This window comes from Homo sapiens, chromosome 4, assembly GCF_000001405.40.
Source record: "Homo sapiens chromosome 4, GRCh38.p14 Primary Assembly".
NCBI classification, from domain to species: domain Eukaryota; kingdom Metazoa; phylum Chordata; class Mammalia; order Primates; family Hominidae; genus Homo; species Homo sapiens.
Genome location: NC_000004.12, coordinates 184040123 through 184063532, shown reverse-complemented (window position 1 = coordinate 184063532; position 23410 = coordinate 184040123). Strand labels below are relative to the sequence as shown.

At 41.8% G+C, this 23410-nt stretch overlaps 1 long non-coding RNA gene across 1 annotated transcript in view; it reads right to left on the bottom strand.

Annotated features, from left to right (window-relative positions):
- Window positions 1-718: 718 nt before the first annotated feature.
- LOC107986330 (uncharacterized) overlaps window positions 719-23410 on the bottom strand; it is a 31852-nt gene continuing 9160 nt past the window's right edge. Inside the window, exons 2-3 of the long non-coding RNA XR_002959824.2 lie at window positions 3440-3661; window positions 719-837 (exon numbers count right to left, since the gene is read on the bottom strand). This is a non-coding gene — a long non-coding RNA (uncharacterized LOC107986330). The remainder of the gene's footprint in view (window positions 838-3439; window positions 3662-23410) is intronic.

Here is a 23410-nt window from a genome sequence, read left to right as displayed (position 1 = left end):
GGAAAAAACTCAGGAAATGTGAATAAACTAGACTTTAGTTAGTAATAATGTATCAGCACTGGTTCCTTAATTACGACAAATGTACCACTCGAATGTAATGTTAATAAAAAGGGAAATTGTGAAGACCATGGAGACTATATGGGAACTCTATGTACTATCTGCTTAATTTTCCTAAATCTCTGCTAAAAATAAAGTCCATTAATAATAATAATAGTAATAATAATAAAGCACATACCAGGCACTGGTACTATTTTGCCAAGGTGAAGGGAGATGCCAAGAATAAATAAGGTCCCGCCATACCCTGCACACGGGGCTAAGGAGGGAATGGTTAATAATCTTACTAGGTTTACTGGTTTCCACTTCGTCTACTTACTAATGTACCAAACAGTACATGAAGATAATTATCAGAGAAGCCAGACACGAAGGTCACACGCTGTATGATTCCATTCTTATGAAGTATCTGAAATAGGGGAATCCAAAGGACACAAAACGCAGGGGCCGTGGCGAGGGGAATGAAGAGAGACTGCTTCATGGTTAGTGGGTCTCCTTTTGGGGAATGAAAATGTTTTCAAACTAGAGAGAGGTGATGGTTGCGCAACACTGTGAATTGCTAAATGCCACTGAATGGTCTACTTTAATTTTATGGTTAATTTTATGCTATGTGAGTTCTACCTCTGCAAATCATAATTAACGACAAGAAAATAATTTAGTAACTTAAATATAAAATAATTTTGAGGTCATTTAATGATGATAAAAAATGAAAACGTGATGCTTTTTGTCTACCTGCTTTTTTTCCTCTGCCAGGATTCTGGATGTCAACTGGGCAGTATTGTAAAACTGTTAATGAACAAATAAAATCATAGTCATTTTCATTTGGAAAAAAAAAGAGTCAGGACACAGTTATTAGTCAAAAAAGGGGTCTGGCTCCAGGACAACATATTTGGAACTGGACATCCGTCAGTGATGGGAGAGGACCAGGGCTCCTTAATTTCCCAGGCCTGAGTCCTTCAGAGGTGTGGGACCTCCAACCAGCGACTTGAATTTCGTGGTTGTTACCGTCTTTGTCTATAAACTGTGGAGAGGGGCAGGGTGGGCATTAAAAGACCCTACCAGGGAGAAAATCCAAGGGTTCTCAAGCAAGACTTTCAGTGGACCGTTGCGTGAGTGAGTGTGAGCAGGAAGAGAGAGGAGAGAACGGGCCAGGGTCATGGATGCAAATTTTATCTGCTGGACTAAACTGACCAGGTGTTCTGGTTTCATGTAAACCCAGCAGGGAAGACAGGCAATGCAATGTGTAAGGTTTTAAGTGCAACATGGAGCTGTTTCAAGGATTTCCTGACATACTTAGGCCATGATAACAGGGCCCTGGGATACGGCAGTTTTCAGAAGGATGTGCTGGGAGCAAATTTAATCTTGTGCCTGGTTTTGGGGGCTCTTCTTTCCTTTCCAGCCATCTCTCCAGAAGCGTTCTCTCCCAGCCCAGCCTTCCCTGCCTCTCACCAGGGCTCAGGAAGTCCTCTGCTATGGAGAGGGCTTAGGCAGAGGCCTTGGGTGCTCCACAGATGGCAGATGGCTGTTCCTCCCTCTCTGCTCTGCAATGCCCTTTCCTGGACAGGTGATGCTGAGTGGTGATGCGTTAACTGCCCCTGGGCAGGGAACTAATGCCTGAAAGATCTCACTAGAATGCGGGAGGAGGGAGCTTTGAGGCAGGGCTGTGAGGTCTTTTTCCCCCCTGCCCCACACAGCTGGTCACCTCCTCCACACATGGGGCCAGCCCAGGGTGAGGCGCTAATCCTGAGACTTGCCCCTTCTCAGATTTCTTTCCACTCAGAGGAGCGAGTAGGCCATCCCTCATGAAGCCTACGCAAGGCAAAGCTTCCCAGCAAGGGCCCCGATGGCCTAACTCAGAGCTCCCGCTTCTGTCCCTCCTTCCAAGTCCCAGTCTTGGAAGGTGCAATGGGGAAGAGAAAGTCATGATTCCCATGTTCAGGGCAAGAAGAGGAAATCGAAAATCTTTTGCTCTTTCAACAATGCTGAAAGGCAACAGAAGCCAAATCACGGCAGAACCTGAGTCTGCCACTTAATGTACAAAACTCGCTAGAGGAGCAGTTCACCCTCCATATCTGTGGGTTTCCCATGCATGGATTCAACCAATGGCGGACTGAAAATATTTGAAAAGAAAATTGCATCTGAACACGTCCAGACTTTTTTCCCCTTGTCATTAGTCCCTAAACAATACACGATAACAACTCTTTACATAGCATTTGCATTGTAATGGGTATTATAAGTAATCTAGAGATGATGTAAAGTGTGTGTGTATAGAAGGATGTGAGTAGGTACAAGTATTGCACCTTTTCGTATCAGGGACTTGAGCATCCTCAGATTTTGGTACCCATGGGAGTCCTGGAACTAATCCCCCTTGGATACTGAGGGACAACTGTATTTATAATTCACCTGAATTGTAAATATATTTTCTCATTCTTGGGATTTTCTTTCTCTTTTTCTGTATTTTAAAAATAGACACAGAGTCTTGCTCTGCCACTCAGGCTGGAGTGCAGTGGTGCAGTCACAGCTCACTGCAGCCTTCACCTCCCGGGCTCTGGTGATCCTCCCACCTCAGCATTCCGAGTAGCTGGAGCTACAGATGCCTGCCACCACGCCTGACTAATTGTTTATGTGTATTTTTTGTAGAGGTGAGGTCTTGCTATGTTGCCCAGGCTGGTCTTAAACTCCTGGGCTCAAGTGATCTGCCCACCTTGGCCTCCCAAAGTGCTGGGATTACAGGTGTGAGCCACCACAACCAGGCTTTCTTGTAATTTTGTTAATAACTTTTTTTCTCCAGTTTTCTTTCTTGTAAGAATAGAGAATATAATAAATATAACACAAAGTATGTGTTAATCAACTGTTTATGTTATTGGTAAGACTTCCGGTCAACAGTAGGCTATTAGTAGTTAAGGTTTTGTGGAGTCAAAAGTTATACATGGATTTTTGACCGCACAAGGGGTTGGACCCCTACCCCTGTCTTGTTAAAGGGTCAACTGTATATGCAGGATGCTGTGAGAGCATGAGGGGAAAGAATTGAGCCTTTGCATGGGGGTTAGGGGACATTCCCAGGAGAAGAGACCCCCAGGGCTGAGCCTGGAAGGACCTAAGCAGGTTGAGGCAGCACCCAGGGCCTGGGGAGAGCAACACAGTCACCAAATGAGGACCCTGGCAGAATCCATTCCAGGAACCTTGGGTAGCTCTGTTTGGTTTCCCTGCAGCTCTGAGTCTTCAATCTCTCGAGAGTGGAATGGCACCGAGATGGTGGAGTGGGGCTGAGGTTCAATCCAGTCCTGCCCCTGACACCTATTAGCTATGTGTAAACCCCCGTGAGCCCGCACACCCCCGCCCCCTACACATTTTGGTGTAAGTGCTCAAGAGTTTTCCTACCCCTTACCTTAGAATCAAGAGGTCTCAGCGGTACACAAAGATCTTAAAGGCCTGCGGTCAACAAGGCAGCACCCCAGGGGCCCCCAGGAGCTGGTTCACATCTCAGTGGAAAACCTGACTCAGGTCTTTCTAGGTCTTCAAGCTTCACTTGGGGAACCGTGTCTTCTGCACTTTGCGAACGCTGGTCCCCACCGCAGCACTTCCGTCACTAAGTGTTTACTGGGAAATACTGAAGTGAGAAAGTTAGAACAATATTGTTAAGAGTTTCATTTTTTATGATGCAAAATTTATTCAATGACAAAATTCACCCTTAATTTTGACAGTGTATGTTCTCCCTGCTGGGAGGAGGTATGTGACATTATACGTCCTTTTTAACGAAATGGTTGTAACAGTAGATGACAGGATTTTTTCAAATGCCTTTTCTTGGCAAAATTATCATTTGGTAACTCCTGTCAAACTCTTAGTTTTTATTTTGACTGTTCCCAGTTGATGAAATCTCAAAATCTGGGGATCATTGAATTGGTCATTCTAGAACTGAAGTTCTGGGACTAGGTCTCAACTCTCTCTTCTTAGTCAGAAGTAATAGATTAGGCCTATGGCTCAATTCCGAGGTACTTAAGATGCATTCCTGTGGGGTCTGCCAGGATAGCACAGACTATGCTATAGTAACAAATTAAGCATAAAATCTCAAAGGCTTAATACAAAAACAAAATTATTTCTTACTCATTACACATCCACCATGGGTCAACAGGGGTTTGTATACTCCGCAAGGTCATTCAGGGACCCAGGCTGATGGAGGCTTCACTATTTATAGCTGCACTTTCTGAATGTGCTTAGAAAGTGCACATGACCTCCGAAGACACCATGAAATGTGAAGAGAGGACTGAAAAGCCATGTAGGAGCTTTTATGTCCAGGCCTAGAAGTGACAAACCTTACTTCTACCCAAATCCCTTTAGTCAGAACTCAGTCATCCTAGCCCAGTCTGCCAGTAAGGGAGGCCAGGAAATGCAGGGGAGCACGTGGATATTCAGTAAATACTAAATGCTTCTGCCGTATCAGGACTATAATCGGAAAGAGAAACTGAACAGGTAAATAAAGGCAAGACAGCAGAGCATTTTTATTTCCAGGTTAAAATGTTAGCACACTACCCTATAGGCATCAGAGAACATGAGGGGATTTAAAACAATTAAACTAGTCCCAGTATGAAGAACGGATTAGAAGGAGAGGCACTAGAGTCAGGGAGACGAATTAAGAGATGTTCTAACAGTGTTGGCATTTGGTAACAAGATCTGCATTAGTGTGATCTAAAGGGGAGTGAAAAGTAGGGATGAGCATGAAATTTTCAGCCGAAGATTAATTACATGGAAGGTCAGGATTGAAAATCCAGATTTTGGAGTCAAGAGGCAATACTTGAAACCAAGAGACCCTGCCAAAGGAGAGAGGAGGGGGCTCCACGCAAGCTCTGCTGCCCCTTGGCAAGGCAGTGTGTGGGGGCGCGGACGGAGACCGAGACTTCAGCTTCCTCGAGGGAGGTGAGTGTTGAGAGGGCGAGATTTAGACTCGAGCATTCTGTCTTTCTGAAAATGACTTACGTAACCTTCAGATAAAGGGACCAAGAATAAAATCAAGATTTGTATTTCTGTATAAGTTTGGGGCTTTCTATATTTTTTCAACTTATCTAAATTGAAGACATATTACCCTTGTAATAAGATTATAATGATTTAGTTTAAAAAAGAAAAGAAGAAAAGTAAGATGTCAAATGAAAAGCAAATTTCCTTCTCCATCTACTGTAAAACTAACAATTTTCCCCTGAAAGTCATGTGCATTCTAGTCCCGTGTCTTCCATCCTCACATGCATTTCCTGAGAACCCAGCACCCCATGGGAACTGGATGTGAGGGCTGCTATGAATGAATACATCACAGCATACACACAGAAGCACAGACCACATCGTCACGGGCGACTCAGTGACTCGCTGTCCATCTTTATCAAACCATTCTCCCACCCATAAATTGATGAATTACACTTACTGTTTGGAATAGAAAATATATGCACTGGATGCGTGAGAAATTTTCCTTTCCTTTTCTTCTTCTTTTTTTTTTTTTGAGACGGAGTTTTGTTCTTGTTGCCCAGGCTGGAGTGCAGTAGGTATGGTCTCAGCTCACTGCAACCTCCGCCTCCTGGGTTCAAGCGATTCTCATGCCTCAGCCTCCCAAGTAACTGGGACTACAGGCGCCCACCACCACATCCAGCTAAATTTTTTGTATCTTTAGTAGAGACAGGGTTTCACCATGTCGGCCAGGCTGGTCTTGAACTCCTGACCTCAGGTGATCCGCCCACCTCAGCCTCCCAAAGTGCTGGGATTACAGGTGTGAGCCACAGTGCCCAGCTTTATTTTCCTTTTCTACTCTTCCTAAACCCCTTAGGCCACGCACTTCACATTTTTATTTAATGAAGCTACTCTTTAAATACCAGGCATTGCAAAATATGAGCTGTTGGGTGTAAGACAAGGGTGACCCATTCAGAACACAGAGGAATAAGCAGAATTATCCCACTGCTGTTTTTTGTTGTTGCTGTTTTTTTAAAAAGCTCACAGTGTGCGGCACTGGCAGAATTAAGAGTCTGTTGTCTTTGTGTATAAAGAATGACACCCTATTGAAAACACAACGTGTTCTGGGTTCATGTTTGACAGCCTCAATCCATGGATCACTTTAGGAGTCTCCTGTATCAATACTCACGATAAACAAAGTGATAAAAGACCCCGGAGCTGCAGAGCAGTGTGCTTAAAAATGTGGGCTCTGGATTTAATCAGATTAGAATGCAGAATCTGCCTCAGCCACTCACTCGCGAGTGACCCTGGGCAAGTCACGGAGCTCTCTGTGCCTCGGTTTCCTCACCTGTGAAATGCCAATAACGCCTCCCACCCCCTGGGGCTGCTGCAACTATTGAAATTCACAAGCACGTCAAGTGCTTAAGCACCTGCCTCACACAGGATGAGTCGTCCCCAGATGGAGAGCCTTTTAAAAAACTGCCTCATCGGCAAGAAACGGACCCTCAAATGTCTCAGTGACAGGCACGGGGCTCGGCACAGGCAGAGCCATCCCCACACAGCCCTGGTTCCCCGAAGCTCCTGACACGTGGTGGGAGATAAGCTTTTTCACACTGAGGGGAGCACAGCAAGCTCAGCTTAGCTCAGTGTTGGAAGTTTCGGGTGGGAATGTATAGGGGACCTGCACAGACCAGGGCACAGTAGGTAGCAGCTTGGCCAGTCTTGGCCCTAGCAGAGAGGTCAGAGAGCAACGCAGTTCTAGAGCTGCCATCATGGGTCCCTGGTTGGGATTTCCCATGGCCTTCTATGCGAGGGATTTGCCATATGGGGACACTGTCATTCCAGGGCTGTGGCTGAATCGCCAACTCTGCCTTATGCCTCTGTTTAGCCACCGATGGCCTACAGGATCTGCCTTTCCTCCACCGCATGGAACTCCCAAGAAAGACCTGCAGCTGTGGCAGGCACCAAAGGCAGCTTGCATGTATCTAAAGCAAACTGGTTATCTGAGAATTGCAATACATGCCTTTTTTTTTTTTTTTTTTTTTGATGATGGTTGGGGGAGGTGTCTAAGATGCTTCTGAGGCTGTTGGCCCCTAGTGCAAGTTTGAAACATTCAGGCGCCATGTATTTCTCTATTTAAGAACGTTGATTTGGGATATTTCAAAGCTGACCATTGATTTCTCTTAGCACATAGTAAACAATTCTAAATGTCATTGATCAGAAAACTAACAACTAGTTATTTCAAATTCCATCAAAGTGCACCATTCAATGATGTTTTTCTACAGTATGAAATGTGATAGACTAGAAACTTTTCTATAACATAAAATGATAGTAATTATACAATTCCATGAAAAGAGAAAGGGGCAATAACAGTTAAGGATTTTGGAAACTGTTTTCTGTTCTACCAGTGTTCATTGGGCTTTGTCTTCCTTTGCAAATCTCCAAAAGAGAAATGTGATTTATTTTTTCCAGTTTCAAGGGTATGTACATGCCATGTAAGCTGTCTCTCAACAAACTAAGATGACTTTGAAAATGTCTGTAATCCAATTAAAATCAATATGGGGCAATCTCAGGAAGACAGGGACTTGGATGTGATTTAACAAAGGAACAGGTATCACTTGTACAATGCCTTGACTGGAGAAAGATTGTCGACCAAGGCCTGTGGCAAGCAGGTGCTCAGTAAATATTTTTATGTGTATGACTTGCTCAATGAGTCCAGAACTCAGAAAAGAGGTAAGGCCAAATAATCAGGGATTGGCAAGATTGATGGGGCACAACCCATGCAGAGAGACAAGGGATTGACAGACACAAATCCAGCCAGGAGAGGCTCACAGGCCACTGTCAGCAGGGAGTCACTTCTTGTGCTGAAATCTTTGCTCACCAAGCAAGCTACTGATCGTGCATTTAAATTCTCAGGTGAAATTCTAACTGGAAAATGGGATGGGGTATGAGCATTTTGATCCCCTGGAAAGGGCTAAATATATGGGAAGCAGTGAAAAATGTTAACTGTGAAATATCTTCAGAATCAGTATCCAGAAATCTCCCATTTTTCCCCATTCTTGTTTATTTTCATACCCCATTCAGAACTCCTGTTGACTTTAAATCAACTCAGAGCCTTGGGAAGCAATTTGTCGGAAGATGAAAATCAACAACAAAATAGGACTTTAGGTCCAAACAATTCTCCTTTAAACCCTTTGTGCATGTGATTATCTGATTTGCCTCCCCCCAACATAATCTTTCTTAATTAAATTTAAAATCATGGTTTCTGTTCACTTTTCAAAAATTGTGTAAAATAAACAATGCAGCAGACATTAGCTACCCTGCTGCTTGTGAGAATTGGCCCGTTGTCTTCCACGGTATGGCTTTCCATCTATAGCATTCTTTCGGGCATCGCATTAGAAATTGCAAGCAGAATGTGCATCACTATCCATATAGGTAAAGTGTAACATTTAGAAACTTACTACTCTGTCCCTGCAGTGAGAGAGCAATATTAATTACCTTGCTCCTGGCATGGAAAATGATGAAAATGACCTGCACAATGAGGATGTCAAACTGTCTTTTTTAATCTGACACCTGGACTGGAAATGCTAGGAATCTATGACACTTATAATTAAATACCTAAGATTATCAAACACAAGTTCAGACAAGGCTAATTTAGAAATTATTATCAAGACTCACTGAGGAACATTCATAATTTGGGAGAAAATAAAAGATTAAAATGGCAAAGAGCCCCACAGAGGGACCAAGTACATGGTTTCCCCTTTTAGAAATTGAACTGAAAGTCAAAGACATTTGCTTTCTTTAGAATAAAATCACATTAATTAAAAGATGTGTGTGATTAAGAAGAATCTTTGGTATTGAGGTGTTTTCAGAGAAGAGCTGCTGTTCCAATGGAGGAAAAGGGGAAAATTTTAAATTCTGGATCTCTCTTCTTCTCTTATCTTTTGATAAAGAACAAGGAGGTTACCTCTAACATTTTGTGTTAAACTCAGCTCATTGCTTGACGCCATGTTGGCATTTATTCCCACGTAGAATAACATTAAGACAGGAAGTAGTGAAAGATACAAGTACCAGACTATGAGAAAACCAGGATCTATCTTAAGATATTCTCAAACTCTCAAGAAGCTTCAAGTACATCCCAAGTCATCCTTCTTTAAATTAAAAAAAAGGAAAGAAAAATCCAGAAAAGTACTTTTTATATCAAGTTATTTTCTCCTCAATATCTTAACTGGCCAAGAGAAAATTCCCAACTTATCTCAAATGAATTGTCCATGTCTATTTGAAATATTAGAATCCAAAATATGCATAACTAAGGTATTTTTGAACATGGTATTTTGAACCAAAGTTATGGGAGTGAGAAGCAATATTAACAGAACAGGCTGGGCGCAGTGGCTCACGCCTGTAATCCCAGCACTTTGGGAGGCTGATGTGGGTGGATCACGAGGTCAGGAGATCGAGACCACAGTGAAACCCTGTCTCTACTAAAAAAATACAAAAAATTAGCCAGGCAAGGTGGCGGACACCTGTAGTCCCAGCTACTCAGGAGGCTGAGGCAGGAGAATGGCGTGAACCCGGGAGGTAGAGCTTGCAGTGAGCTGAGATTGCGCCACTGCACTCCAGCCTGGGCGACAGAGCAAGACTTTGTCTCAAAAAAAAAAAAAGAAAAGAAAAGAAAAAAAAAGAAACAGAAGAACATTACACGCAGGTATAATGACAAACTAAAACCCAGCCAAAATCTAATACATTTCCTTAAAAAAAAAAAACAAACCACTCTGTGTGTTAAATCAGAAAGTTGAGTTTTCAGTTCAGTCACTCATGTTTGGACAATGGCAAGTTCAGGCCCATTAGGAAGGAGGGCGTGGTGCTGAAGGGGGGGTTGGCGGAGGGAGGATTAACCATGTAACTGCTTGGCATCTGTGAACCAACGACAGCTCCATAAAGGCCTGGGAAAACAGACAACAGACTGAGGGAGGGACCTGTGAAGAGCCAGCCTTGGTTTTGAGAGTTTTACATGCAAAAAAGAAAGGAACTGGACCCGCCTGCTCCATAGACAGGGCTCCTCCCTTCCTAGGAGGGTAACCCTGACTTGGGATACGGGACACACAGAGCTTGGAGTGCTGGCAGGCAGGCTACTCCCCCACGATAACTCAATTAAAATGGATTTGCTTCTTGTTTTTGAGATTCCTGTGACCCCTTTAAAGACACAGCCTCTCAATGATACCTCAGATTACCAGCACCATATAATACGTGCAGACGATGCCTCGGGCAGAGCTGCAAAGCAGGCAACCTTTACTCTCTTGGGTGGCCCCAGCTTTCTCTCCCTAAGATTTTACATGATGTTTCTTTCCTCTCTACTTCTGAATGTGCTGGGCTCTGCATGTGACACCAGGAATTGTGATGGGTAGCCCTCCTGCGGCTGTATGTGATATGCACCTGTCGTCATATAGTACTACTCTGGTGCTGTGGTATAGGCGTGTTCATCTTGTGCTGGCCTCGAGGCCCTTCACCACATAGCAGGGCGGAGAGCTCAACTGGAGGAAGTGATTGGGTGGAGGTCAGCCATCAAGGGAAGCTCATCTCTCAAATTTAAAGCTGGAATTTGGAAGGAGAGCCTCAGAGAGAAAGAGAGTCTCTAGGCCTCGACCTTAATGGATGAGTATCCATCTATCTGAGGACAAGCCAATGACTGGGACTTGGGAACTCAGGAACTCAGACAGGGTGACCTCATTTATGGTAGGCCTTTACAGCTGGAAGGTAATTAGCTCAGCCTTTGAAAGCAGGGCTGTTTGAATGCTCATATATGCTATGTTTTATTTTCCATCTGGTCCACCTGTTAGAGCAGTGTTGAGAGCCTTGGTCCATCCAAGCTAGATTAAAGGGAATGTGACAGCAACAGCATCCGGGCTTGAGCAAGAATCTTCAAGTGTGGGTAGCACATCTCTGGGGCCGGGAACAGCAGCAGAGCTAAATGAAGCAAAAGAACCCTAGAAGAAGTCGAAACCCTTGTGAACAGAGCTCAGCCATCCCTCTTGGCAAAAAGGTTCTCTTTCAGCTTCTAAACTTTGATTCTGGATTTGGGATTCTGATTCTTGGTTCTTGATTTTGTTTTAAGAAAGTGGTGACTCTGACACTCCAGGCTCTTTCCCTTTACCTCCTTACAAAACTTGCTCCTAAGGGGGGAACCCCCATATCTATTTCATCAGCAAACACGTATTAAACGCTTTCTGGGTACCGGGCTGCAGGTGATGCTCTGGAGGCTGCACTGTGCCCCACCCCTGCCCTCGGGGAGCTGACAGCCTATTGGTCAGTGCTCATCCCCCAGCTATTTTCATTCTAAGACTGTGAATGAAAACGTTTTAGTCTACATCAAAGGAATAGCTGATGTCACCAGCAGTTGGGTGCCAGTTTTCTGGGCCCTCAGATCTGTGCAAGGCCCATTTGGGGCAGGGATGCCAGCTGACCATATTCTCTCTCATTGCTCTACAGAACTGATGGCACTATGGTACCTAGAACACTACCAGCTAGCTCCGTCGGTTTACCCATCTGTCTCCCTGCCCCACCTGCCAGGCCCATGACTGCACCAAGTTAAATCTCCTAGCAGCAGCTTTAACAATATCTTGCCCTCTAACAAATTTAAATAGACACGGGATACACACAGATTTAGGGTAATAGGCTATATTAAGTTACAATGGCTTTCCTAGCCTTCGGTGAGAGGACTGTGCCAGTAAATCTTGATTCTAAAAGAAGAGTTTAAAAGTCAGCATCTCCCAGCACTCCATCTGAAAGGCAACACTCAGACCAGAAGAAAGAGAAAAGGTAGAATATAAAAATAAAGAAAACGCAAAGGTATCGCCACAGACACACACTGAAAAACAGGATATGTCATCCTCAAGAGAGGAGAACCTAAACCTCCGAGACTACTGTGGGCACCTTCGCCACCTTTACTCTACAGTCAGTGCCCAGGATAAGATAAAAATTTCAGTGCTTAGTCACAATAGCAAAGACATGGAATCAACCTAAATGCCCATCAATGATAGACTGGATAAAGAAAATGCGGTACATATACACCATGGAATACTATGCAGCCATGAAAAAGAATGAGATCATGTCCTTATGCAGAGACATGGATGAAGTCAGACCATGTCAAACCCTGTGATGCTTTTCTATGTCACTCAGGATAAAAGCCAAGGCCCCAGACAGCCTACAAGGCTGGCCTCCTTTGGGTCCTGAGGGGTCTCAGGCTCCCTTACCCCTCTCTTGTGCCAGCCGTGTGGGCCTCCCTGCTGTTTTCCCACAAGCTATGCATGCTCCTGCCTTAGTGATTCCCTCTGCTGGGAACCCCCTTCCCCTAGACAGAGTGGGTCCACATCTAGCCTTCTCCACAAGGCTGACACCGACCACCCCACTGCAAGCTGTGACTTTCCCTACCCCTTCTTTGGGATTCCACATCTGCCAAACCCTGGTCTGCTTTCCTTCCTTGAGTAGCCCACACCGCCATCCAGCCTGTGTCCACTTCTTGGGCTCACTGCTCCAGGCTGGCTCCCTGGGCAGGGAAGTTCTCCTCACCAACTCCTCCCTCTCACCAGACCGTGTCCTCCACACAGTGCTCAATAAACACCTGCCAAATGGGGAGTACAGGAGTGAATGGAAGTATAAAATTCTTTTCAAATGGCAGGTGGATCACTTGAGCCCAGGAGTTCGAGACCAGCCTGGCCAACATGGTGAAACCCCGTCTCTACTAAAAATATAAAAATTAGCTGGGAGTGGTGATTCACACCTGTAGTCGCAGCTACTTGGGAGACTGAGGCAGGAGAATTGCTTGAGCCTGGGAGCTGGAGGCTGCAGTGAGCCAAGATCACACCACTGCACTCCAGCCTTGATGACAGAGTGAGACCCTGTTTAAAAAAAAAAAAAAGTTGTACATGTAAAGGTGCTATTTAATATAGGACATAGAGGAATGTGGACACGTCTGTGCCACCGTAGAGCTTCTAACAGTAAGAAGGCCCCGTCTCCTCAGATATCCGTTCTCATGGTTTCCTCTAGCTGGTTCTTCCTACAAGACTCTTACGAATCCCAATGAACTGCTTCATCTTCTCATTTCTAGATGAGCTATTCATCTTCTTCATGTTTCCCCACCCCAGTAACTCCAAGGTTTATCTCTCTTCCAAGGACTAGGTATTTTCTGGACCATTTCCAAAAGAAAAAGTTTCCACAAAAAATTCCTTCTGGAGTCAGACAATCTGGGTTTGCACCCTGGTTCCACTTTCCTTATCTTTACAATGAAGATTATAATAGTAACTATCCCACGTGGCTGTGTGAGGATGAAAGGAATAAATTAATGCAAATTCCCTAGACCAGCGCCTGGCATATATAGAAAGAACTTTCTGTGTTGGCTATTTTTATTCTCAGTATTACTGAATCATGAAGAAAATCATCTGATGTAGACATACACTGTGCTACTTTAACTTGGTTTTAAACGGTATCGATCAACATAACCGAAAGTAAAGCAAAACAAAAATAAAAATTCAATCTGCATCACGCAAAATATCTGGACAGGTCTTCACCAAACTTGGAGTTATCTGACTTTCATATAGAATTAGTGGCATGGTCGAAACTCACTTTGGAAAAGTGCCAAAGGAAATTTCAACAGGATGGGTAGTCATTGTCCAGAACAGCCCAAACTCGAGTATATAAGACTCATAGAACCAAAAATGGAGAGAGGTGTTGTGCAAATATTGAGATGTGATGGACGGAGAAAACCTGAGTCATTTTGGACATGAGGCCTAAACTGCAAGTCGCAAGGGCAAACACTCCTACCTGCCCATACTGAGTTGCTTTCAAGCAATGTGCCACGTGAGCAACTACATGCAGGCTGGCCCAGGTGAGAGACAGAGGGTAGTTTATTTAATAATTGTTCATGCTGGCCGGGCACGGTGGCTCATGCCTGTAATCCTAGCACTTTGGGAGGCCGAGGTGGGCGGATCACCTGAGGTCAGGGGTTCCAGATCAGCCTGGTCAACATGGTGAAACCCCGTCTCTACTAAAAATACAAAAATTAGCCAGGCGTGGTGGCGGGCGTTTGTAGTCCCAGCTACTCGAGAGGCTGAGGCAGCAGAATCGCTTGAACCTGGGAGGTGGAGGTTGCAGTGAGCTGAGATCATGCCACTGCACTCCAGCTGGGCAACAGAGTGAGACTCCATCTCAAAATAATAATAATAATAATAATAATAATAATAATAATAATAATGTGTTAATGCTTTTCCAAAGCAACTCTAAGGAGATCATTTATCAGGTTAAAACAAATCAGCCCCTTTAGAGAAAAAAAGTTAAATTTTCACTAAGATCAAGTCTCAGGAAACATGCTGAAAACTCATGAAAGTCATGAGTTTTGGGATTTAAGGTGAACCCACAAGTAGGGGAGAGATGTATAACAGGATTTAAAAATGATAGGTGACCTTAGAAATGATCATTTTGCAGTTGAGAAAAATTAATAAATTGAAAGGTTAAGTCCATAGCAAAAAGAGAAAATCTTCTCCCTCTTGAGACACCATCAAAATGCAAGGATAATGAAAGATTAAAAAATATATTAATCTACAATGTCAAAGAGACTAGAGAGTAGCTATCTGCCGATGAGTGATTTCAACAAAAATTTCAACAATAAGGCAGAAAGCCAGTGGAGAAGTGAGGAATGACATATATAAGGTGGAGGAGGAGGCAGCATAGTGCTCACTGGGGGTATCTGGATCACAGGGAGTGGTAGCTGGTCCTTCAGGACTCCTCAGAGCCCTAGGAACCGGATACTTTGGTGTGGCAAAAGTGCAAGTGAAATTTAAGGCTGAAAACAAATGGATTTTTTAAAGATAAATAAATTAAGGAATCAATGTCCCTGGCCTATTACACAGAATGCTGTTACCTAAGCATTTGTGCTTCTGAAGCTAACAAATAAAAGGTTTCACTTTTGGAAATTAAATATCCACCCACTACCCCTTGCCCCCCAAAAGACCTTCACATTCAGGGTTTTGATGAATTCCCAGTGTAACAACTGCCTTCCTGGCTGATCATCCTAAAACACAACCCTACCCACACATACAAAAACATACGAAGCTCCTGATCTAATTTTAGAATCTTCTTCTTCTTTTTTTTTTCTTTTTTTAATAGGTGGGTCTCTCCATGTCACCCAGGCTGGCCTCAAACTCCTGGGCTCAAGCGATCCACCCACCTCAGCCTCCCAAAGTGCTGGGATTGCAGGTGTGAACCACCATGCCTGGCTGAACCTTACTCTTAAATATGAATGAGCAACCTAGGATCAATAAAAAAATATAAAAAAGAGAATTCATGATAAGCAGACAGGAAACATGATCTCAAAAGGAAGGGTTAATGTAGGAAGCAGGAAAGAATTAAAACACAAAAACTATGATATTCTCAAAGAAATTAAAGAAGATATTGCATGTATAAAATGGAATCAGGATGTTTTGACAAAGGAATGGGTAGGAAACAAAATAAAAGGCCTCATAAAAATATGAGAGCCAAGATGAAAAAATTCAATAGGGTAATTGGAAAGAGTCAAGGAAACCTAAAAAATAAAACTGAATAACAAAGAGATGGTATGAGAGAGACAAAAAGAAACCCAGAGAAATATTACCCAAGGCAGCATATACGATACCTGAGGCAGATGGTGGATACGAAGAACAAAGATTCTAGTTCTTTGTAGATTTTTTTTTTTAACTGAAACAATCAACTATCAAAGGATAAATAAAAATTTCTGGAGTAAAAAAAAATCTAGGCATAAAAATTGTAAAAGCTCACTATATTTCATGCATAATTTATAAAAAGATACCTACACCTATGGAGAGTTCTAAGTTTTGAGGAAAATGGCAGCCAATTCCACATCTCCTCCCATACCCTCCCAGAAAAACACAATGCAACATAACCAAAACATAAAATTAACAAAGAAAGCGAATACACCACTAGTACTCATGCTTTCAGTATTATAAAGAGGAAGAGAATCCCATGACCTTCAAATTACTTGTAAAGAGATTTTTAAAAACTCCAACAAAGCCCTGACTACCCACCTGCCACTGCAAGCCTGTGGGTATGGCAAACAGGAGAGGAGAGGCTTAAAAGTCTGTGAAAAACAGTAGGTGGTAGTAAAGAATTTAGATGAAGTACAGATAAGATCACTCCCAGAGAGAGAAAGTGAAATAATACATGTCAACATACTAAACTGAGATCACAATCAGATAGTTCTCAGCTCTTGCTACAGAGAATTGGCCTGAAAAGAGCAGAATTAGAGCAGAATCAGAGCAGGACAGCTTCCAGGTTATAATCAAATACATGAGGAAGTGAAGGAAATAAATAATAAGATACCATGTGGTAATGAAACATAAGAAATTTCAACACTTCTCCCCAGCCTGACCTACCACCACCAACTTCATCTCTAAAAGAAACTACACAGCAGAGATGAGAACTGACAGGAGAGAGTGATGGTGAACTACAATCTCTGCCCATGAAAAGAATAGGAATAGGAAAATGCAGCCACATTCATATAAAAGTATTATATAAGACAGAACAAGTTCACTAAGGCTCTTCTGTTTATAAAAAATATCCTCCAAAAATCTAAATATGAAGCTAAAGAAAATTGTAACATAACACTCCAAACAGAACTAAATATCTTCAAACAAGCATCTGGGATATTAAAATCAACCCAATTAAGAATATAAAAGCTAAAAAGAGAAATAGCCAAAACAAACCAACAAAAAACCCAGAAGAAATAAAATAAGGATTTATCCCAGGAAAAAATAGCAAGACAGTATTATATCAGAACTGAAAACTGAATTTCAATGTGTCAAGGTAAGAATATATTCAAAGGAAAAAAAAAGAATAAAAAAATAAATAAATAAAAAATAAAAAAGAATAAAAAAATCCTTTGAATAAAGGATAAAAAGAATATACTCAAAGGATAACCAAATAAAAGAATAAAAAAAGAATAAAAGAATAAAAAAATAAAAAATAAAAAAGAATTAAAAAAATCCTTTGAATAAAGGATAAAAAGAATATATTCAAAGGATAACCAAATAAAAAACACTGAAGAAGAGCAAGAAAAAGCCAAGAGAATGAAAGCAGGATAAAGAAAAAAACAAAAACAAAAAGAAGTTTAAGAAAAAGTGATTGAAATGGAAGAGAGGCAAAGCAGGTATAACATACATATAATTGGCAACAATGCAAAAGAAAATCAAAACAAGGAAACAGAACTAATATTTAAAACGATAATCCAAGAAAAATGTCCAGAAATACAAGAAGAATTGAATCTACACATTTAAAAAGTCCACCTGGTACTAGGAAAAATTGACACAGAATGATCCACTCTAAAATATATCCTAGTAAAATGATAATATCTGATTTTAAAGATAAGGAAAATATTCTCAGGGCCTCTAAGCAAAAAGATAAAGTAACTGAAAACGCAAGAGAACTAGACTGGCATCAGACTTCCACAACACAAGGCAACTATGGTGCAGGATTTTCAAGAAATGTAAAGAAAGTTAAAAAAAAAAAAGGACATTATATCTAAACAAGTTGTCTTTCAGGTAAAAGGCAAGAGAAAAAGTTTTAAAAGTGCCAGGGATCAGGGAATGCTATATACATGTGCCCTTTCTGATGAATCTATCAGAAGATGAACTTCGTCCAACCAAAAACTGATGGGGATTTCAATAAATGGCTTAAGTCACCTATTACGTGAAAAATATTTTTAAATTGACTTATAAACAAAATCCAACACTTCAATGTAAAAAAGAGATATACCTGAACACAGTGACTTGAAAGGCTAAAAATAAAGAGATCCATTCCTCACATGCTACATAAGAATAAAATCCAAATAGATCAGAGATCCAAAGGTAAAAATATATATATTTAACTCTAGAAGTATCTTAGGAAAATATGAGTAAATTCGTCCATAACCTGGTTTTTGGGAGAAACTCTCTAAACATGTAATGAGAAAAAGATTGATAAATTTGACTACATAAAAAGAAAATACTTTTAAATGACAAAAAATAAGCAAAGATAAATGACAATCTAGGAAAGAATATTTGCAATATTTATCTCAGCTAGAGCCAATATTTTAAAGAAACAAACAACTTTTATAAATTGAGGGAGAAAGCCCAAAATCATATAGAAAGTGGGCAAAAGACATGAATAGGCAATTCATAAAATGATTAAACATGACTCAAGCATATGAAAAGATGTACTCTGTTGGCAACTCTATGAAGAAACAGGCACTTTTCACACACCGCTGTTGGGAATGCAAAATGGTACAATTCCTATGAAGGGAATTGCAAAAGCTGGAAATATCTAACTAAACTACGTATTCATTTACCCTTCAACTCAGAGAATTTACCCTGAAAACATACCTCCAACAATATGAAAAGTTATTCATTGTGATAGTATTTGTGATTGGAAACACTGGGAACTACCTAAGTGTCCAAATACAGAAGATCAGCTGAATGAACCGTGAAGGGCAGATGGATATCATATGCCTCTAAACGAGATGCCCTAAGGAGGGCACATCACCTATGTAGCATTCCAGCCAAGAATGTGTCATGAATCTAACCATGAGGAAGCATCAGACAAAGCCAAAATGAGGAATGTTCCACTAAAAAAAGGAGAAGGGGGCTGCATTCTTCAGAATATGTAGATGTGATTAAAAACACACACACACACACACACACACATACACACACACACACAAGGCTGTGGTAACAGTCCAGATTGTAGGAGGCTAAAGACACACAGCAAATACACAGACTATGTGACTCTAGACTAGACACTACGCTAAGGGAGAAAACATGCTATAAAGAGCATTATTGGATCAACTGACACAACTGGAAAATGGGTGGTTAGCTTAGATAAAAAATACTTTTCCAATATTAAATTTACTAAAACTGAAAATATACTCTCCTTTGTCTTAGAAAACACACACCAAAGTATTCAGGAACAAAGGGCCATTATGTATCTAACTTACCTTCAAATAGTTCAGAAAAAGTTGGGGGTGTCTGTGAATGGAAAGACAGGGAGAGAGAGGGAGACAGGCAGAGAGAGACAAACAGAGAGGGAGAGAGAGAGAGAGAGAGAGAGAGAAACTAAGACGAGCAAGGCCAAGTGTTAGCCACAGGTGAATCTGGGCAAAGTGCACATGGGTGTTCTTTGTACTCATATTATTCTTACAGCTTTTTCGTAAGTTTGAAATTATTTTTTAAAAAGATTAAAATGTTTGTAAAAGTCTTCCAACAAACAACAAAAAAATTCTAAACATACGTAGTACAAAAAAGAAGTTCCCTCATAAAAGTTTCCTTAAAAGTGAACAAAAATCAACCTGGACTAGTGGACTTAGACTTTTTTTTCTGTCATACTACAAACCAGAAGAAATAAAATAATAATTATAGAAGTTGGAGTAATATACTTATAATTTTTATCCTCAGTTATTTTTCTTTTGTGAAGGCATCCGAAAAATGGTCTGGTACATACAAAGGCTCAGAAAATATCATCTATGTCTCTTTCTTAAAAAATTATTTGAAGAAGCATTCCAATAGACTTGAAGGGGAATTCTAATTCCAGTTCTAGTATCAATGAATGGTGCATACAAGAACTGACCATTGTCATTATAACCAATTAAGATAGTGTTAAATCTCAAAAAATCATTCCACATAAGTAGAAGCAAATGAAATTTAGATTTCTCAGAGATAGAGAAGATACATGATGTAAAAAAATGTAAAAAACAATAAACTGGATTTTAATTAACAAAGTCTGGACAACTGGTAAAGGAAGAAATGTTGTAATAGATGGGGACATATAAGTGAGTTAAATTATTCATTTCCTATTTTGGGGAAATCAGAAGATAATGCATAATCTCAACCTTGATTTGTGAAAAATACAGAAAAACTTAAAGTGTAATAAAGCGACAAAATTTCTGTGCTGTGAACAGCTGCGGGCTTTAAGTGAGAATTGGGCCAGAAGTTTGACCTTCAAGCCCAAATTACCTCTTCTTGAAAAGGGGAGGAGGCCAACCATCTTATGTTGTCCTTATAAAGTGACCAAAATGATGAGAAGTGTTGAGATGTGGAAGGGATCTCTCTGCCAGTACTGAGCTCACGGTGGGGACTCCATGTCCATTCCATGTGTGGGAAGGGAGAGTGGATGATGGGAATGGAACAAATGGAGCCAGCAATGCTCTTTACAGCATGTTTTTCTCCCGCAGCACAGTTCTTATGCTGCTCAGAGTTGCAGACCAATAGATGTTGCTAGAACCTCAGGACTCTAGAGTCAGTGCTACGAACAAGCAGTGCTCGAAGGACCTAGAGCACATCAGGAGACTGTCTGGAACCTACTGCAAGCTTCCACAGGAGCATCAAAGGTGAAAGACCTTCAACAACAAAGGAAAACCTGATTCAAAAATGGGCAAAGGACTTGAATAGACGTGTCTTCTAAGAAGATATACAAATGGCCAATACGCACAGGAAAAGACACTCCAAATCACTCATCATTAGGGAAATGCAAATCAACCATGAGATACCACCTCACACCCACTGGTATGGTTACTACCAAAAAAACAAAAAACAAAAAACAAAAAAGTACAAGTTTGGCCAAGGATGTGGGGAAATCGGAATCCTTGTTCACTGGTGGTGACAATGTAAAATGGCACAGTCACTGTGGAAACAGTAAGATTTCCCCTCAAAAAATTAAAAATATAACTACCATATGATCTAGCCATTCCACTTCTGGATATATGCTCAAAAGAACTGAAAGCAGGGTCTTGAAGAGATATTTGCACACCCATGTTCATAGCAGCATTATTCGCAATAGCTACAATGTGGAAGCAACATAAGTGTCCATTGATAGGCAAATGGGTAAACATAATGTAGTATATACACACAATACAATATTATTCAGACTTCAAAAGGAAGGACATTCTTACACATGCTACAACACGGGTGAACTGTGAAGACATTATGCTAAGTGAAATACACCAGTTGCAAAAGGAAAATACTAAACTGTATGATTCCATTCATATGAAGTATTTGGAGTAGTTAAATTCATAGACACACAAAGTAGCATGCTGGTCTACTTTGCCAGGAGCTGGGAGGAGTGGAGAATGGCGAGTTATTTTTTAGTAAGTATAGAGTTTCAGTTTTGCAAGATGAAAAGAGCTCTGGAAATGGATGGCAGTGATATTTGCACAATATTATAAATGTCCTTAATACCACTGAACGACACACTTAAAAATGGTTAGGATAGTAAATTTTATGTTATGTGTACCTTACACACACAAAAAAAGTTCTTTAAAGACAGTGAAAGACCTTAAAATGTATGAGTAAAACTCTGCCTCCAACAAATACCTCTTCTCCTTCTAAGAGTAACACTTCCCGGCTTGCCACGAGATCCTGGTGGAGATGGCTGACCAGGTGACACCAGGTGACAAGACACCCAATACTCATCATTCATGAACTGAGTGTTATAAGATCTACTTGGTCATAAAGTTGGAAATTCCAAGAAGTGCTCCACCATTAGGGACAGATGATATCTACAGCTCACAAAGGCATCAATAAGTCACATGTGCTCAGGAGCCCAGGATGCTGCCCTGGCCACACTGACAACATGCTCTCCACCTCTTCCCATGGCCTCATGGTAAATTCCTGATGACCTACTGACAAAAGAGGAAAACAACTGAAGCCAAATGTACTGATGGCTCTGTACCATATGCCAGAACCAGCCCCAAGCGGAGTATTGAAGTCATTATAGCCCCACTTCATGGTAACCCTGAACATGGGGGAGGAAAATCCTCCCAGGGGGCAGTACTTTGCCTACAGAATAGATGGTCTGGACTAAGGTCCTGCTTTGATTCATGGAGTAGCTAATGGTTGGCCATATGGTCAGGGACAATGTTACAGTTTTTTAAAAGGCCATATATAATTAGTCTGATTTATTAAAATGTATATATGTACAATTGAAACTACATACAGCTTAACGTTAACACTATGGGTGGTTTTAAAATTTTTCCGTTATATTTTCCTAGTTTTTTTTCCCGATGGTTGTGCATTATTCTTATAAACAGGAAAAAAGTTAACTTTGTTTTAAAAAGAAACTTCCTTATGGCTGCGCGTCATAGGAACCCATTCAGCACGCTTTGTGGAGTTTATTTTGCTCTGAAGTCTGTCTTCTGTAAAGCAACACTGTGGTCAGTCTGTGGACACATTCCATTATGGCTCCGTATGAGCTTGGTTTGGCATGCTACATGCCAAAGACAGTAGAATCATAATGTTTGTAACTGATACAGTCATATAAATAGGATACAAAACGAGGGGCTTTCTGTTGATGTGAAAGTACACAAGGCAGCGTGGCGTCTCCAGCCATTCAGGTTGTGGCATGAGCCTGGCTAGTGTGTAACTCCTAACTCTGCTGTCCACCAACCATATGACTTTTGACAACACAACCGACCTCCAAGCCCAAATTTCCTCTTCTTGAAAAGGGAAGGATGCTAACCATCTTATGTTGTTCTTATAAAGTGGCCAAAATGATTAAAAGCAGTGAGATATGGAAGGCATCTCTCTACCAGTACTGAGCTCACGCGGGGACTCCATGTCCATTCCACGCATGGGACAGGAGAGTGATTGATGGGAACGGATCAAGGAGATGGCGCAGTTCTTTCCCAGCTCTGAAAGGCTGCTTAGAAAAGGACTCAAAAGTCTCAATTTACATTCTGCCCCAGTAGACCAGGATCAAATAGGTCATGAGCAAAAGGTGGCTGGTTGGAAGAGAGGGCTATCAGTGCTTTGGGAGACTGAAGTAGGAAGATCACTTGGCGCCAGGTGTTCAAGACCAGCCTGGACAACATAAGGAGACTCCACCTCTACAAAATTAAAAAAGAAAAAAAGAGAGGGATATGAGGAGTCTTTGTAAATTCCTCCCTTCTCCCTCAGGGCCCCGATCCTTCAGTGGGATTACACCCAATATGGGTGGGAGCGACTCCCCAGGTGCGTCTAACACCCCCACCGGCAGAGGGGAAGTCACGGAAGAGGAGGGCAGCGTTTACAGTTTTGAGGAGCCAAGCCCACCGCAGCAAAGCCACACAGGAGGAGCCCTTGCTGTTCTCTCTGTTCTCTCCTTTTACTTGGGAAATAACTTGAGAAAGATCAGCTCCAGCATGCCCCAGGTGGACCGCGGCTGGAGAGCAATGAGACAGCACTGCAGTTAGAAAAAAGCATTTTCTACACTCCATCGCTGCAGGAAGCGCACAGCTTCTCTCTCCCTCCCGCCCAGGTTCTTAATTAGTCTTGTGGAATCCGATGCTACAGGGGCACAGCCAGCTCCCAGGGCTCCCAAGAGCGGATTGCGCGCGGCTGCTCCCAGCCCCGCGGGGTTTGGTGAGGTCTGTGGACAGCCT